Consider the following 15,636-nt stretch of genomic DNA (forward strand, 5'->3'; position numbering starts at 1 on the left):
TGATGTCACCCAACAACTGTGTGCTAAGGACTTTCACATGTGTATCAACAACTTAGAACCTCTCTTCTGAGCTTCAGACCTAAATATCTACAAACTTACTTGATTTCTTTACGTGTATTCCTGCCAGCATCTCAAACTTAGCCTATCTAAATCTGAACACAAAGTTTTGTCTCTTTCTGTGCCTTGTATAGAGAGGACTTACATATGTTTGTGTATTGAGAGGACTTGTACTTGTCTTCCCTCTTCCCACTTTCTTTTTACAATGAATTCAGAGTGAATGTTTCAAAACAGAAACCTATTTCTATCCATCCCAAGTTTAAAATCCTTCCACTGCTCTTAGACTCTTCTCCACAGCTTCTTTCTAGCTTCATTTTTGCCAGTTTATCCCAAATTTCTTTACTCCCTCCCAGTAAGCACCTCTTAGTTCTGTGTCTCTACAGAATCTTTCCCCGGTTGGAGGTCTCCTGTACAGCGCTCCCTCTTGCTGCAATAGGCTTCCCCTATACAATCCCTGTCTCCACTTCACCCCCTTTTTAACTAACACTCTCCCATCCTTTAATGAGCACACAGGTAATTTCTTCTGAGACTCTCCCAAGTCATCTCCTCCCTCTTTACCCCTAAGTCTAAGCTAGTTCTCTCAGTTATGCTCTCTTATGGCATATATGAACATTCTCTTCTCAGCATTTCCCATGGTTGTACTTAAAAAAATTCTTGTAAAAATATTTATTTGGTGACTGTGACTGTTTTCTCCATTAGAATTTAAGTTTTATGAGGGCCAGGACAACATCTGTGTTATTCATCTCTATATTTCAACCACCTAGCATAGTTCCTAGTATGGTAGATCCTTGGTGAATATTTTGTTGCATGCATGAGGGCACAGATTTAGGCATTGCATGCATGGAGTAAATTTGCTAGAGAGAGAGGTCATGGTTTTGAAACAGGAACACGAGTATCAGGTTGCTAGGGAAACACCGGTTAAGGAGAAGGTTTTGATGATATCTTGGCTTAGACTCTTGAGTTAGAAATTTATGTAGGACACATTGGTTGGCATTTTTTCTTAGGTTCTTCTTTTCAAAAAGTAAGTTTCTGCTGCCACCTCTAGTCACTCCTCCTTTTGTGGAAAGGATTAGTAAGTCTTCCTGGGAAAATATAACTTTGCTTCATGTTCATACGAATGACAGTAAAATAACTTTTCTGCAACAGATGGGGAATGAGGTAATCATGGTTTTTCTCTGGGCTATCCTTCAAAAAAATATTAAATTCATGTGTTTGGAAGTCATTTATTGAATTAAAACTTTTGTTGTTGCTTTTTTTGGTTTCAGCCCACACTGTTTTCTCTTGGCAGAAATAATCAGCTTAGAAGTTATCAGTACCACCCATTCCCATAACAAAAGTAACATTTTTCTATTTTTATGTTACTTCTTGGATCTCTTAACTTTCCACATCCTTTGTCCCCTATCAAAGTCTTCACTTTCTGTTCAGTGCTGGCCAGTTGGCCTCCTTAATGTATGGAAGAGTGGGCTGTTGTGGCAGTTTGTACAATGAACAAGAACAGTCCTATTCATCTCAATACAGACAGTATCCAGTTTAGACCTCAACGTTGAATTAAATGTTGAATGAATTTGGGTAGTATATATTTGGGAACATTGTTTTACCTTTGTGCGTCACTTGTAAAATGATGATAATGTCTCCTGTTGTGGCAAGGGGATAAGTACAAATGCTCATAAAGCGTCCAGCAAAATGTATAGGGGCACTTAATGTTACTCAGTAGAACAGTAATATTATACATATTCTTGGGTGCTGCCATTCTGTGGCATAACACTCGTGGTCAATAATTGTTAAATTTACCATGGCCTAATTTTTAAATTAGTTTTCCTGGCTGTATAATGAACTAGTCAAATAGTTAAGGTTTTTTAAAGCCTAAGCGTTTATTCTCTTAAGTACTAAGATTTTTGAAAAAAATTATTGATTTTGATTATGTAGATAGAAATCTTTCTGAAATGTGTAATTTCTTGCTCAGACTGAACCAATTTGGGCATTCTCAGGCCTGCTTCCTTTGCATTCAGCTGCGATTGTTCTGTGCCCTGTGTTGGCTGCTTGAAGTGATTTCTTCACACTGCCCTTTTCTCTTTCAACTTTGTTGCTCTGGAATTCAAATCTGATAAGCAAACTTGCTGTTAGAACAGTGTCTCTAATTAATATAATTTCTTTATGAGAAGAGGGCTGAGATCTTTTCTTTGAGCAAGATATATGACTTTGTGTATGGGGATTTTTGGTGTGTTTTGATAGTTCAGAAGCCACTTTTTAAACTTTTCTTGTTCTAAAATAGTTTCTGGTCAGATAAAATTTTCAGATTACAGTTGTGTCTGTGAAATGAAATGTTACTATCCAGTCTCTATGTCCCCTAAAAACTAGCCATACCATAACGCGGTTGGTTGGGGGAGTAAAATCTGGAATTAGAGTAGTAAAGAAATGAGAGAAGAAAAGATTCTTCTTGTCATCAGAGTGTAAAAGAGATAATGCTTTTTCTTAAGGAAGACAATAAGGACCATATTTCAGTTTAAACAAATAGACAGCTTTGGATGAAAATAGAAGTAAAATATGGACCTTAAGTAATTAATTCTCCGAGTGCCACTTGGTACTTGTCATATAAGTTAAGTGAAAGTCTAGAGAAAGACAGATCATCTAGTCATGGAGGGAGAGGCAGAGCAAGACAGTTTCTTCTGAAGGAGATAAGAGAAATCAACCTTGAGTTGTCAATAAGCATTTCCATTCCTATGTTTCTGTTGTTTCCTTCATCGAGAATATTTCCTCGCCTCTTTCCACCTTCATTCTGACAATGGCACTTTGTGCTATCAATCTTTATTCTTCTTTCAGTTGGTAAAGGTCGAAAGGCAGGCAGTGGAGGGCTCCCTTTAGTGGAGTATAGGAACATGAACTGAGCAGGCCTGGGCTTGCAAAGGTCAGGTTTCAGGAATCAAGAGGTGGAGCTGAATTTTTCTTATCTGAGGAAGTGGTGGGATATAAACAGCCAAGGAATAAAACAGAGCTGGAAACTGGCCTAACTGGTCTAGAGAGCAGGTTAGATATCCAAGGGACCCAGACTGCACTCAGCAAGGTGGTGCACTCTGAGGGGCCCAAAGCTCTTGACCGCTGAGAAATGTAAGCTGTGAGGGAAACAGGGTCAGGGAGAGGCAAGCAAATGTCCCATATCAGAAGCAATGGAGAAGCATATAAGACCAAGTGCTATATTGGCTGCCGGTGTTCTTGCTTACTTTGAATAAGCAGATTATCCTTACTATTATAATGTGGGTGGGCCTCATCCAATCTGTTCAAGGCCTGAATATGACAAAAAGACTTGCCTCACTGAGCAGGAGGGAATTCTCCAGCAGACTTCCCTTGGGCTTCATCTGCACCATAGGCTCTCCTGGGTATGAAGCTCGCCAGCCCATTTTGCAGATTTGGACTTGGCTGGTCTCCACAATGGTGTAAGACAATTCATTATAATAAATCTCTTTCTGTATATCTACTCATCCTGTTGGTTCTGTTTCTTTGAAAAACCCTGACTAATATGGGGGGCCAAGGAGAGAAATGTTTTTATGTAATTGTCTATGAAAAACAAAAATATTCTTGAATACTTCAGAATTTTCTTTTGAAAGGGAGGCAATTAATAATGTTAGTAAGCTTGCGTACCAGGATAATTAAATCAAAACGCAAGGTTTTTGGTAAATGAAAACTCATTTCCTGTAATCATATGAAGTATGAGAAATATTTATTGACATCATTTATATCTAAATACTGGTGATATTAGGTCCAAATATAACCCCAGACCTTCTCAGCAGCACTTACTTGATTCTCTTAGAATTAGAGCCATGACTAACAGCTGAACCTTATAACTTTCGTGTTATTTCTTTGAACATTATTTCAGAATGAGCAAGACTATTAAAACTCCAAACTTAGTCTTTGTTTATTACATAAAATTGTCCTGACATTATTTGAAGTGATACATAATTTGAAATATAGTTTGACCAAACATCAATGGTTTCTCTCCGTAAAGGTTACCCCTTTCTTTCTGAGCAATGATAAAGGAAAGAGCAAGGAATTTTGATGCCAGACATACCTCAGTTCAAATCTTGATTGTATTACTTATTAGCTATCTATCTATGGACAAGGTATTATCTGCACTCCTCACTTGAAAAATGAAACAAACAATGACTTCCTTTTGAGAGTTGGGAAGATTAAATGAAATAAATTGTGTGAAAGTGTCCATGAGAGAGTGCAAGGCACATACAATATGTTCTTGACACATCTAATTTCCCATTCTTTTTTATAGTTCATAGTTACAATTTTATAGTTTTATAATTCATGTTTCTGTAGGTGTTACAGAATCTAGAATGTTACTAGTTGCTAAAAGCTTCAGGATCAATATTTTTATATATCAATATATCAAGATCAATATTCTTATATATAAGTAAACTGAGCCCACAGAGTGTTTTCTTGGCCTTAGGACACAGCATTAGTTGGGGAAAAGCAGGGGCTATTTGTTTGGAGAGACAAAGTAGAGCATAGTGAAATAATAGCTTTGTTATGTGGCAGACCCAACTTTGACTCCAAATACCACTTTCTAGCTTTGTGACATTGGAAAAAAAATCTTCTTTATGTTTAAATTGCTTTATTTTTAAAAATGGGGTTATAGGCCCAGTGTGGTAGCCCATGCTTATAATCCCAGCAAGTTGGGAGGGCAAGGTGGGCAGATCCCTTGAGCCCAGGAATTTGAGACAAGCCTGGGCAACATGGTGAAACCTTGTCTTTACAAAAAATACAAAAATTAGCCAGGTGTGGTGCACCTTTAGTTCCAGCTACTTGGGAGGCCAAGGTGGGTGGATCCCTTGAGCCCAGGAGTTTAAGACCATCCTGGGCAACATGGCAAAACCCCGTCTCTATGCCAGTACACTCCAACCTGAGTGACAGAGACTCCAGCTTGGGTGAGAGAGAGAGAGACCCTATCTCAAAAACAAAACAAACAAACAAACAAACGGAGTAATAGTATGTACTGACAGGTTATGAAAATTAAATGTATAATGTAAATGCATGCTTAACAAATGAAGGTAATTATAATCTGCACAGCCAATTATTTGATTATTCAACTTTACGTACAAATATCTGAACATTTTCCTTCCCCTGATGACAACAGAAGTATCTGAATTAAAACCCTGACCTGAAAACCTCCTTCAGAATTCCTTCAAAGCAATAATGAGAACAGCAGGTTACCTAACATATGAATTCTAGTTTAATAGGAGGCTGTTTCCAGAAAATTCCAAGCAACATACCATAAGCATCTTCAGTATGTGTCGGGCTGTTGGCATTTGGAGAAGGACATCTGGGAAGTTGTTTTTTCAGGATTAGAGAAGCTCTTATGTTCATTTTTCCAGTTTCTCTTATTAAATCTCTTGCTGAATAACAGTGCAGGCTGTTTGCTGTGTGTTGAAATGAATTGTATAATCTGTTACTAAGAACTTTTTTTCTCTATTCTAAACTACGTGATTTGTATTGGGTTGGTTATTTTTAATAATACAATGCTACAATTAACCATACCTATAGACTCAAATGCCCCCATATAATTTTTGAATAAGAACAACCTATCTTTTACAGTATTAATCTTGAAATTGTTTTTCCTCAATGCCCTTCGTAATCCTATTTTCCCAACTCCCTAATATACACCTGCTACAATACTAAGACCCCAAGTATTTTGGTACCCAAATTGCATACCCTTTCCTGCTTATGCCTATCTTGGCCTGAACCTTAGGCCCAGAACTGAGCACATAGCAATGTTAAATGTTTGCTTTTATTGTTATCATTATTGTTATTATACTGCCTGTAAACTCAACCCCCTTTCAAGACTGAATTCAAATCCCTCCTCTTCATTCTAACTTTATATCTAGCTTCCTTACAACTACTGCTGCACCTAATACTTTATTGTATTCTACTCATCCTCTGTATAACCTACTTTAGTTTCCTACCTTAACTTTATTTCCCCCTCCAGACAAGCTTTTAAGGACTTACATATTTTACTTTATTTACAATTTTAAAATCTTTGTTTGAGAGCTTGGTATTTATACAAACCCATATACATCTATATAAAGATACATAAAGATACACACACATACACACACATGTACACATATATACACATACAGATTCAAAGCCATTTAGATCCTTCCATTGCACTGCACTTGTAGAGTGTGCTTTCGTTATGAGGTTTCAAGTTTGCATGTAGTTTGATGCCTAGTGTTTTTTGATTTAAGACCACTTGTTAGAGTACAGCTCTGGGTTAGGAATTTAGTCCTAGGTGTTCTACTGTTCACTTCTCTAACTCTAATAAGATCTGGCCTCTGCAGATTTATCTTTCCCAATTTAAAGCAAAAATGTTTGCTATTATTATTATTATTATTATTATTATTATTATTATTATTACACTGCCTATATACTCAACCCCCTTTCAAGGCTTAATTCAAATCCTTCCTCTTTGTTCTAAGTTCTTATCTGGCTTCCTTACAACTACTATATCTTATGACTATACAATCTTTTTGGTCCTTCTGGTTGTAAAATAATCATTCCATGAATATATGTATACATCATATTGGTAAGTGGCCACTCAGGGATCAGGTGCCAATACTGGAAACACAATGCATTCATGTTGTATATTCAGCATTTGTAAGACTGAGTGCACTGTTTCTTCCTTCACCTAAATTCATGCCTTGGGATCCTTGTTCTGGGTAATGATAGCATCATCTGCTTAAGAGCAAAGCTAGAAACCCTAAGTCTGACCACCCACCTTCCTCTCTTTTACTGCTAACATCAGATCGGTCACCAGATGTTAAAGATGCTCTCTGTAAATGTAACCTGAAGTCAAGGTGCTTACTCAACTATGAATTACCAGCTGGTAGATCTTACACAAGAAACATCATCATTATATAACTTTCATTTGCAAAACCAGCAAATACTTTCCTTCTGCTCACCTTACATGATTTCTGAGAGAGTTAAATAAGACAATGTCCCTGAAAGCAAGCCAAAAATTTGCAAAATGTTGAACAAATATAGAGTATTATTGTTATTATTAAATAGAGTAAGTTGGTCATTTTAATGATATCTTTTTTCTAATAGACATTGCTTTTTTTATTTTCTTATATGAAACATTCTTTTCTTTTTCTTTTTTTTTTTTTCTTTTTGAGATGGAGTCTTGCTCTGTTGCCCAGGCTGGAGAGCAATGGCACGATCTTGGCTCACTGCAACCTCTGCTTCCTGGGTTCAAGCAATTCTCCTGCTTCAGCCTCCAAAGTAGCTCGGATTACAGGCACCCGCCAGCACACCCAGCTACTTTTTATTTTGTGTTTTTTGTAGAGATGGGGTTTCACCATGTTGGTCAGGCTGGTCTCGAACTCCTGACTTCAGGTGATGCACCCGCCTCGGCCTCCCAAAGTGCTGGAATTACAGATGTGAGCCACTGCACCCGGCCTTATTTTCTTCTTTTAAAAAATTAGGCATTACTAAAGTATGAAGTTAACTTACACTTCTTTGTGACAAAATATGGGATGTATAACATAAAGATTGAGACTAAAGGGAACTGTATTTTATGATTTTTACTTTGTGTACAAATCTCTCTGTTGCATCGTTTCAGGTGCCTGTGGTAGCCATATTGGGTTCAGGTGGGGGTTTCCGAGCCATGGTGGGATTCTCTGGTGTGATGAAGGCATTATACGAATCAGGAATTCTGGATTGTGCTACCTACGTTGCTGGTCTTTCTGGCTCCACCTGGTTAGTATACATTTTTAATTTTAGTTTTATAACTTTAAATATTTAGGATTTATCTAACTCAAGCACTAGAAGAGAAAAGGGGATTTAGAAAATTGATCATTAATTTAAATTACTGAAACTTTCCAGTTTGATGCCACAATCTGCTTTAAAAGATTTTTTAAAGACAAATCCATACTTAATAATAACTTTTTGTTGCAAATTTACTTCTTTTAAGCCACTTTGTAACTTAAAATGTAGTTAAAACATGAAATAAAAAAGACTAATTGAAAATAGTTCTAGATAAAAATAGAAGTGGAACAACATACTCCACCCATAATTAATTTAATCTTCTTATAATTTGCTGATTTGTAGTCCTTCAGTGAACATGTCTAAGTCTACATGATTCACTACATATTCATTTTCTTCTTTAGGGCAAATAGAATAAGATGCAAGATACCATAGTATACAGAACAAAGAAAACAATTTTTTTGAATATAGAAATATAATATATTTCATTGATTTTCATCTAACTAAATATGAAATTTGTCTTTTAAATTTAGGTGGAGACTTAAAGCATCCATATGTATAATACTTGTACCCTGTAGGTTTTCACAAATATATTTATAAAACATTTTCCAAGAAGATATTACATACTTTTTGGTTTGCTTACCTCACATAAGCACATTGAAAATCAAATGAAAAGTCCTTGCTCACATGTCTCAAATAAGAGTATCATCTTATTACTAAAGATCTGCCTTGGACTTACAAGGCCTTTTTAGTCATTCAGCCATGGCAAACTCATCTATCAGAATATCGTATTATATATGTCTAGCATTTTAAAGTTTCTGTGTCATTTTATCTTGTGAGATGGGTATGAATTTATTCATTTTTATGCTGAAGAAAATTTGACTTAGAAGCCAAATGATTTGTCCAACATCACTAGTAGAGCTAGCATATAAACTCAGGCTTTTGATCTGTCATTCTGAGTTCTTTCTACTAAACCACACTCTTTTCTGGGACATCTATATATTTTACAGGGAATTTCACATTTAAATCATCCACAGTTTCTTAAATGTTTTGAATCAGATTTAGTCATGAAACAAAAACTTAGAGCCATCATTGCCATCTTCTCTATATGTACCCTCAAAATGATTTATTTCTTCTGAAGGAAGGGTGTAGCCCATCATTATTCTTTCCCTTGAAGGAAAGAGCAGGCATCTGCCTGTTTAATGAGTAATGTGTTAGAAAATCTTGGACCCTTACATTAGTTCACCTACTCAATCATTTTGTTATTATTCTTTGAGTGGTGTTCTTTCTTTGTACTCACTGTTTATTACATCCTGTTGTCCATCACTGACAACTGGAAGAAGCTTACTTTCTTAAACTCATCTAATAAAGCAAGACTAGACTTCGAGTGCTGATTTGGGGATATAATTGTGTATGTGTGTGCTTGATTAGAGATATAGTCATTGCTTTGGTTATAGATTTGGTGCAATATCTTCTCACATTCCCCTGTCAGTAAACAAGTCCTGTAAAATGTAATTAAAAGGATTTTAAATGTGCACATATATATATATATATATATACATACACAGAGAGAGTAATTAAAAGGATTTTAAATGTGCACATATATATATATACAGAGAGATTAATTAAAAGGATTTTAAATGTGCACACACACACATATATGTATACTTCTACTCTATCTTTCACAGTCTTATTTCCATAAAGATCAGCTTTTACCTTTTTATTTCATTTCCTTAAAAGGCTGCTCACTCCTTGTAATAAATTTTCACTCACAGACCACTTAATTTGCAAAGTTCTTATTTTCCTTGACTTCTCAGTGTATGTGGTGTAGGGGAGGGAGGGATTGGAGATTGAGACATTTCACACATTGATTTGTGCTTCTTTCTAATTGTTCCTATCATGCCTTTTCAGTTTTATTTCATCCTCTCTGATTGGCCTCTCCTCCATATATTGTCCCTACCACTTCCACAATTTCTCTCCTTAATGTGGGCTTTCCCTCATGGCTTCTCTTTTGGTCCATTATATCCATATGTCCTCCGTAGGTAATTCCACCAACTTCTGCCATTTTAGCTATTACCACCAAGAATTTAATTCATGGAACCCTGTAACACTCCAAAACTTCATAGATAAAAAGAAAATAAAACCCTAATGGAGACTGCAAATAAGCTGTCATAGAGGAGAATCAAGTAAAAGATGGTATCTAGAGGGAAGGATGCTTCAAGAAGGAGTGGGTGTTTTAATAATGTTGAAAATCTGTGAAAAGCTTAGCAAAGGACTGGGTTTGGTTAGTGGTTTTAGCAGGAACCACTAGTAAAAGTAATTAAAAGATACTTTTAAACATGAGATTGTAAAAAATAAGAAGTGAATAAAACATGAGAGTACAAAAAATAGGCATATGAACCTCATAAAAGCCATCTATTATTTCAAGTACTTTGTTTGGAAAGGGAAGGAAGGAGCTCGGTCATTGTTTGAAGGGAACATAGGGCCCAGGGAAGGGTTTTTATTTTTTTTTTTTTCAGAATTTAAGAGAGTTGAGCATTTTCTAGATGTCTGAGATGTAGGAAATAATGTAGAGGCATAGATGGAAGATAAAGAAATAGAAGATAGTAGAAGATAAAAAGAAGATAGAAGGTAAAGAAAATAGATAGAAAAAGACTCCTGCAGAGACAGGACACAAGATTGAAAGCACAGGTGAAGGTGTTAACCAGGGAAAGAAGAGATGCTCCCTTACCAGAAGAAAAGGTGGCCAGGATGATTCATGTTCACAGTTCTCTCTTAAAAAGTACAGGTGAGAAGGTAAAAAGTTCAAAGGAAGGAATTCGGAAAGTCTTGGAAAAACACATTACGCTTCTATGTTGTGTAACCTTTTATATTCTGCTGATACACGGCCATTATTTGGTATAAGTGAGGTAATACGGAAATATGTGGAGAAGCCCTGGACCTCCCAGAAAGTTTTCTGTGATCACAAAAGAGAATTTTAGGTAGGACAAAGCTTCCCTTATACCTGCTACTACCTTTATGGTAATTACTTCTGAAATTAATTTTGGATGATAGTTGTGATTCATTAAATATAAGTATTAGCCAACCTGGAGACCCGAAATGAGTGAACTAAAAAAACAGGACAGTAATCCTGTGTTCTTTTACTCAGGATTAGTACAGCTTTCTTCCTCAGCTGTTCTTTTATAGCATTGTAAGGGGCTATTGGATGTTGACTGCCAAGTTTGTACAGTATTACCATCTAAAAAGAAATCAGAACAGCTCTGCATCTATAAACAGTGTGGTCCAATTTATTGAACTAACTAAAATAGAATTTGAGAGTGAGAATTTTCAGTTTAACAGTACAAAAAATTCTTAGAACAATGAAAAAAGAAACAATATTAACAGAAATTGTCACATAAGGTGTGACAGGATCAAAGGTCAAGATATGTGTTAGAGAAAATTTGTTGTTTAACAGCTAAGTTTGTCTTCTTCCCTAATGAATCTCTCTTACCTAGCACAGTGCCTGACTTTCCTTAGGTCATAGTTGCTTAATCACTGAATGAAGAGATGTGTTAAGTGACTGCGTTTTATGGGAAAATTAATTTAGGGGTTTTTAAAGGGTTTCAAGATATTTCCTTAACAGATGTTGAGGGTCTTCTCAAGTCATTCCAAATCTTAGTTGCAGATGAGAATCACTTCTGCTCTTTTTTAAGCACAAAAATTCTAAATGTTTAACCCTAAATGTTTACCCCGAAGGTTTGGATTCAGCAAGTCCTGGTAGTTAGCTACTGATATTTTAAAACACTGACCATTTGATTTGGAGACAAGCATTGAACTGAACATCACTTCCTCTCTGGCATGATTTAGATTTAAAATGTCACAAAATCTAAAATGCATATAGATAAAAAGAATGAGGTGTCTTATCATATAAATATGTTGAAAAATTTGAGGCAAATATTTCCAGATTTTTATATAAATAAACCTAAGTCCCTTTCACTCATTAATTAACTAATTTATAGAGGCCCTGCTATGTCTAAGCTACTCTCTTTTTGAAACTTGATGGTATAATTGGGAAACATTATTGGTAAAGAGATGAAAATTAAGGCTTAACTATAGAGTTAAAAACTGGGGTGATACTTTTATGTTTTTTTTTTTTTATTTTTTGAGATAATCTCACTCAGTTAGATGTAACTGCAGGGACACCATGAAAAGATTATCCAACTCTCCTTGTGAATTCTAAGGAATATGTGTCATAAATGCTGAACAAGCAGAGACCATTAATCCAATGCCAATGGTTGAAGTATTCTAGGTTTTTCTGTTTCTCGCCAGGGTTTGTATTTCCAAGCCAACTGCTTCATGAGACGGGAAAAGAGAGAGAGAGAGAGAGAGAGAGAACACCAGATTACTTCAATCTTCAGAGAGTACATTGTGCATTTATTAAAAGTATGAGAAGGTCCAGAATATCATATCTTTTTTGATTTGGATGAATCACATGGTAGACTTTGGAATAACTATAGGAATAAATGAACTGTGTATCTTTCAAGTATTCAAAGCTGCATTTTTATAGATATTTCGTGATTATACTAAGTTGAGTTGAGCAAGTCTATTTGATTTATCATTATCACATGTTGAGGGAACTGTTTCAAATTCAATTTGTTGTACAAAAATCATTTAAAGTTTTTTTTTTCTGCACATGTGATCCATTGTGGGTCTGTTACCCTCCATTTATTAACTGATTATTATTCTCAGCTTGTCTCCAAGGAACTCAAACCCAATAAGGAATTATAATTTATTGTGAAATAGGAATAGTTTGGTCTCTAACAACTGAAGTCTTGTATAATAGACTAAAAAAAAAATAGCCTACTGGGGAGAGGATAAATTTTGAATTCCAGTTCTGCTGTTATAAACTGGGGAATATGAGCATGTTATTTAAATTTCCCAATGCTCTTTTTCTTGATAATTAAAATAGAATATTTGAAAGCCACCGTGAGTCTTCAAGACAACAGCTTATGAACAATTAACCAACACAGTGCCCAGAATATAGTAGGGGCCTAAGAAGAATTAGTTTTCTCCCCTCGAAGGGACGATAACCATTATAGTAGACATTTTGATTTGAATCCCAAGGAAATAAGAGATTAAAACATGTGCTATTTTCTCCTTGGTTGGATGAAGTGATGGAATGTTTACATATTCTATTTTTATTTTGTTCTGTGAGTTTCCTAAGCTGTGCTTGTCATATGCCAGACATTAGCTAGTCACTGAGGCTAAAAAAGATGAATAAACAAAGTTTATTTCCTGAAGGAGGAGGACACAATTTCTTGAGGGAAACAGATAAGTAAACGAGTAATTAATAGTCAGCATGAGATCTACCATACTAGAGGTATTGGTTCACAGGTAGGAGCACCATAACTAAATTTTTATTATCTAGATATCAAATATCAAGGCTCATGGTGATTTCCAGTTTTACCAGAAGTGGCCAAATGGCTGGCAGACAAGAGGCTTCGTAAGAAAGCATTTACTTTAAAGACTTTATTTCTCTTTAGGATTTTGCCTTCAGATTCATATGTTCAGAAATTTAGAGACCTACAGTTGACAAGATTTGAGATTTTTGTCTAGTTGGCCAATGGATAATTAAGGAGAAAAAAGGATTTTTCAAGGGAATTAGGAATTTACAATAGTTGGGACAACATATTTTCTACCTGTAGATAATCATCCTGGAAATTTAGATGATCAGATTGCTTGACTAGTCTTGGAGCCAGACAAGTCAATTCATTTACATGACTCAGATGTGCTCTGTCATCAATCTCTAATACTCTGATAGAGATACTCCATTCCTGGCACACCAGACAATGGACACTAGTCCTAGTAGGGCACCTTCTCTCTTGGACTGTGGATGAAAGTTCAGTGTTTCCTCTGACACCTCTTTTTTTCTTTACCTTCATGGTAGACTAGCTCCTGTCTGATTGACACATTCTTTTCTTAAATGTTTTAATATCTGCAATCAGATAATGAAGTTAACCAAATATGTCCACCATGCTTTATTTACAGAGTGTGCCTTCTTTCTTTGGAGACTGTTGTGTAATGCTCTTTATCTTTACTGATTGTGTTTTGTTTTCTGTATAGGTATATGTCAACCTTGTATTCTCACCCTGATTTTCCAGAGAAAGGGCCAGAGGAGATTAATGAAGAACTAATGAAAAATGTTAGCCACAATCCCCTTTTACTTCTCACACCACAGAAAGTTAAAAGATATGTTGAGTCTTTATGGAAGAAGAAAAGCTCTGGACAACCTGTCACCTTTACTGATATCTTTGGGATGTTAATAGGAGAAACACTAATTCATAATGTAAGTTACAGTTCAATCTACACTGCTTTTATAACAAGTAGACAGAACATATTATAATATTATATTTTAAATAAAAGAAAATGTAATACATTTTATAAAAGTCAGTGGACTCTACTTATTTGTCCAACTATGCGTACTGAGCCCATTCTCCCCACCAGAGATTATAATTCTTCTACCTTTCAAACTAGTGCTTACTAATTCATTTCAATGATGTAAAGATTTTGAATGTGTGAGGAAGTGCTTTTGTATTCCTTTTCTCTGGAAAAAAAAAAAAAAAAAAAAATTCACATTTTAACCCTTAACTGCCCATTCCCTCCAAGAATGGTAACATTTTTAGATGAGGAAGAATGAAGTTTGCCTGAATAGAGTCAAGAAAGGAAGGGGATCGCATAGAACAGACTCGCTTGATGCATGATTGCATTGATGTTTCGTTGAAGATAAAGCAGAGGAGCGCCTGTGACAGGGAGTCCAGGGGCTAAGTTTCTTCCAGGCTCCACAGTTGCTAATTCATTCTCCAGTTCAGATGTAGACATATAATCTAGAGTTATGATTATTTTTTAAATGAAGATAGTTACTTCCATAGAGCTTATTTTTTGTTGTTCATTCAGGACCTAGTAATTTCTAGAAGTAATAAGACTTATTTTTATTATAAAGTTATAAGATTTTGATTGGAAGTACTATTTTGAATAGCATTCTTTCTGTGTCTGTTTATAAATTTAAAGTCATCTTTTTCTTTCTTCTGTGGACAGAGAATGAATACTACTCTGAGCAGTTTGAAGGAAAAAGTTAATACTGCACAATGCCCTTTACCTCTTTTCACCTGTCTTCATGTCAAACCTGACGTTTCAGAGCTGATGTTTGCAGGTATGCTGTTTCCTTTCTCAGAACACTTCCTGGAACCTCTGAATTGCAGTTTCCCATGGTTTTCCTTAGAGGAAGGTCATAAGCAATTTCAGTTGTTTATTTTAATGTATTTTCTGTAACATAAGACTTTGAAGATATAAGAAAATATTAAGTGAGATGATTTCCTGGTTGTAGAGAATATTCCATGAAACTAGTAACTAATGTATTTTCATTTACTATAGTAAAATAAAAATCATGGATACAATCAATCAATACAGTCAATTAATTATCCACTCCTCAGTAACTTTTGACAAAATAATATGCCTAGTGCTTTTAGGTAGTGCAAATTGTTTTACTTGTTGGTTATCTTTTCATTAATTGGGTAATATGATCTACAGTCCTCCCTTGGTACTCATGGGGGATTGGTTCCAGGCCCCCCTGTGGATACCAAATTCAGTGGCTGCTCAAGCCCCACATACAAAATGGCACAGTGTTTGCAGGTAACCTACACACATTCTTATGTATACTTTAAATCATCTCTAGGTTATTTACAATGCCTAATACAGTGTAAATGCTAGGTAAATAGTTGTTATATTGTTAGGGAATAATTACAAGGAACAAAAGTCTGTACATGTTTAGTACAGATC

At 35.5% G+C, this 15,636-nt stretch overlaps 1 protein-coding gene across 5 annotated transcripts in view; it reads left to right on the forward strand.

The window, feature by feature from the left end:
• PLA2G4A (phospholipase A2 group IVA) overlaps window positions 1-15,636 on the forward strand; it is a 160,033-nt gene that overhangs the window by 96,136 nt on the left and 48,261 nt on the right. For all 5 annotated transcript variants that reach the window (XM_011509642.3, NM_024420.3, NM_001311193.2 and 2 more), the window contains 3 exons: window positions 7,679-7,815; window positions 13,924-14,146; window positions 14,896-15,010. In XM_011509642.3, coding sequence (XP_011507944.1) covers window positions 7,679-7,815; window positions 13,924-14,146; window positions 14,896-15,010 — 475 coding nt within the window. The remainder of the gene's footprint in view (window positions 1-7,678; window positions 7,816-13,923; window positions 14,147-14,895; window positions 15,011-15,636) is intronic.

This window comes from Homo sapiens, chromosome 1 (genome assembly GCF_000001405.40).
Source record: "Homo sapiens chromosome 1, GRCh38.p14 Primary Assembly".
NCBI classification, from domain to species: domain Eukaryota; kingdom Metazoa; phylum Chordata; class Mammalia; order Primates; family Hominidae; genus Homo; species Homo sapiens.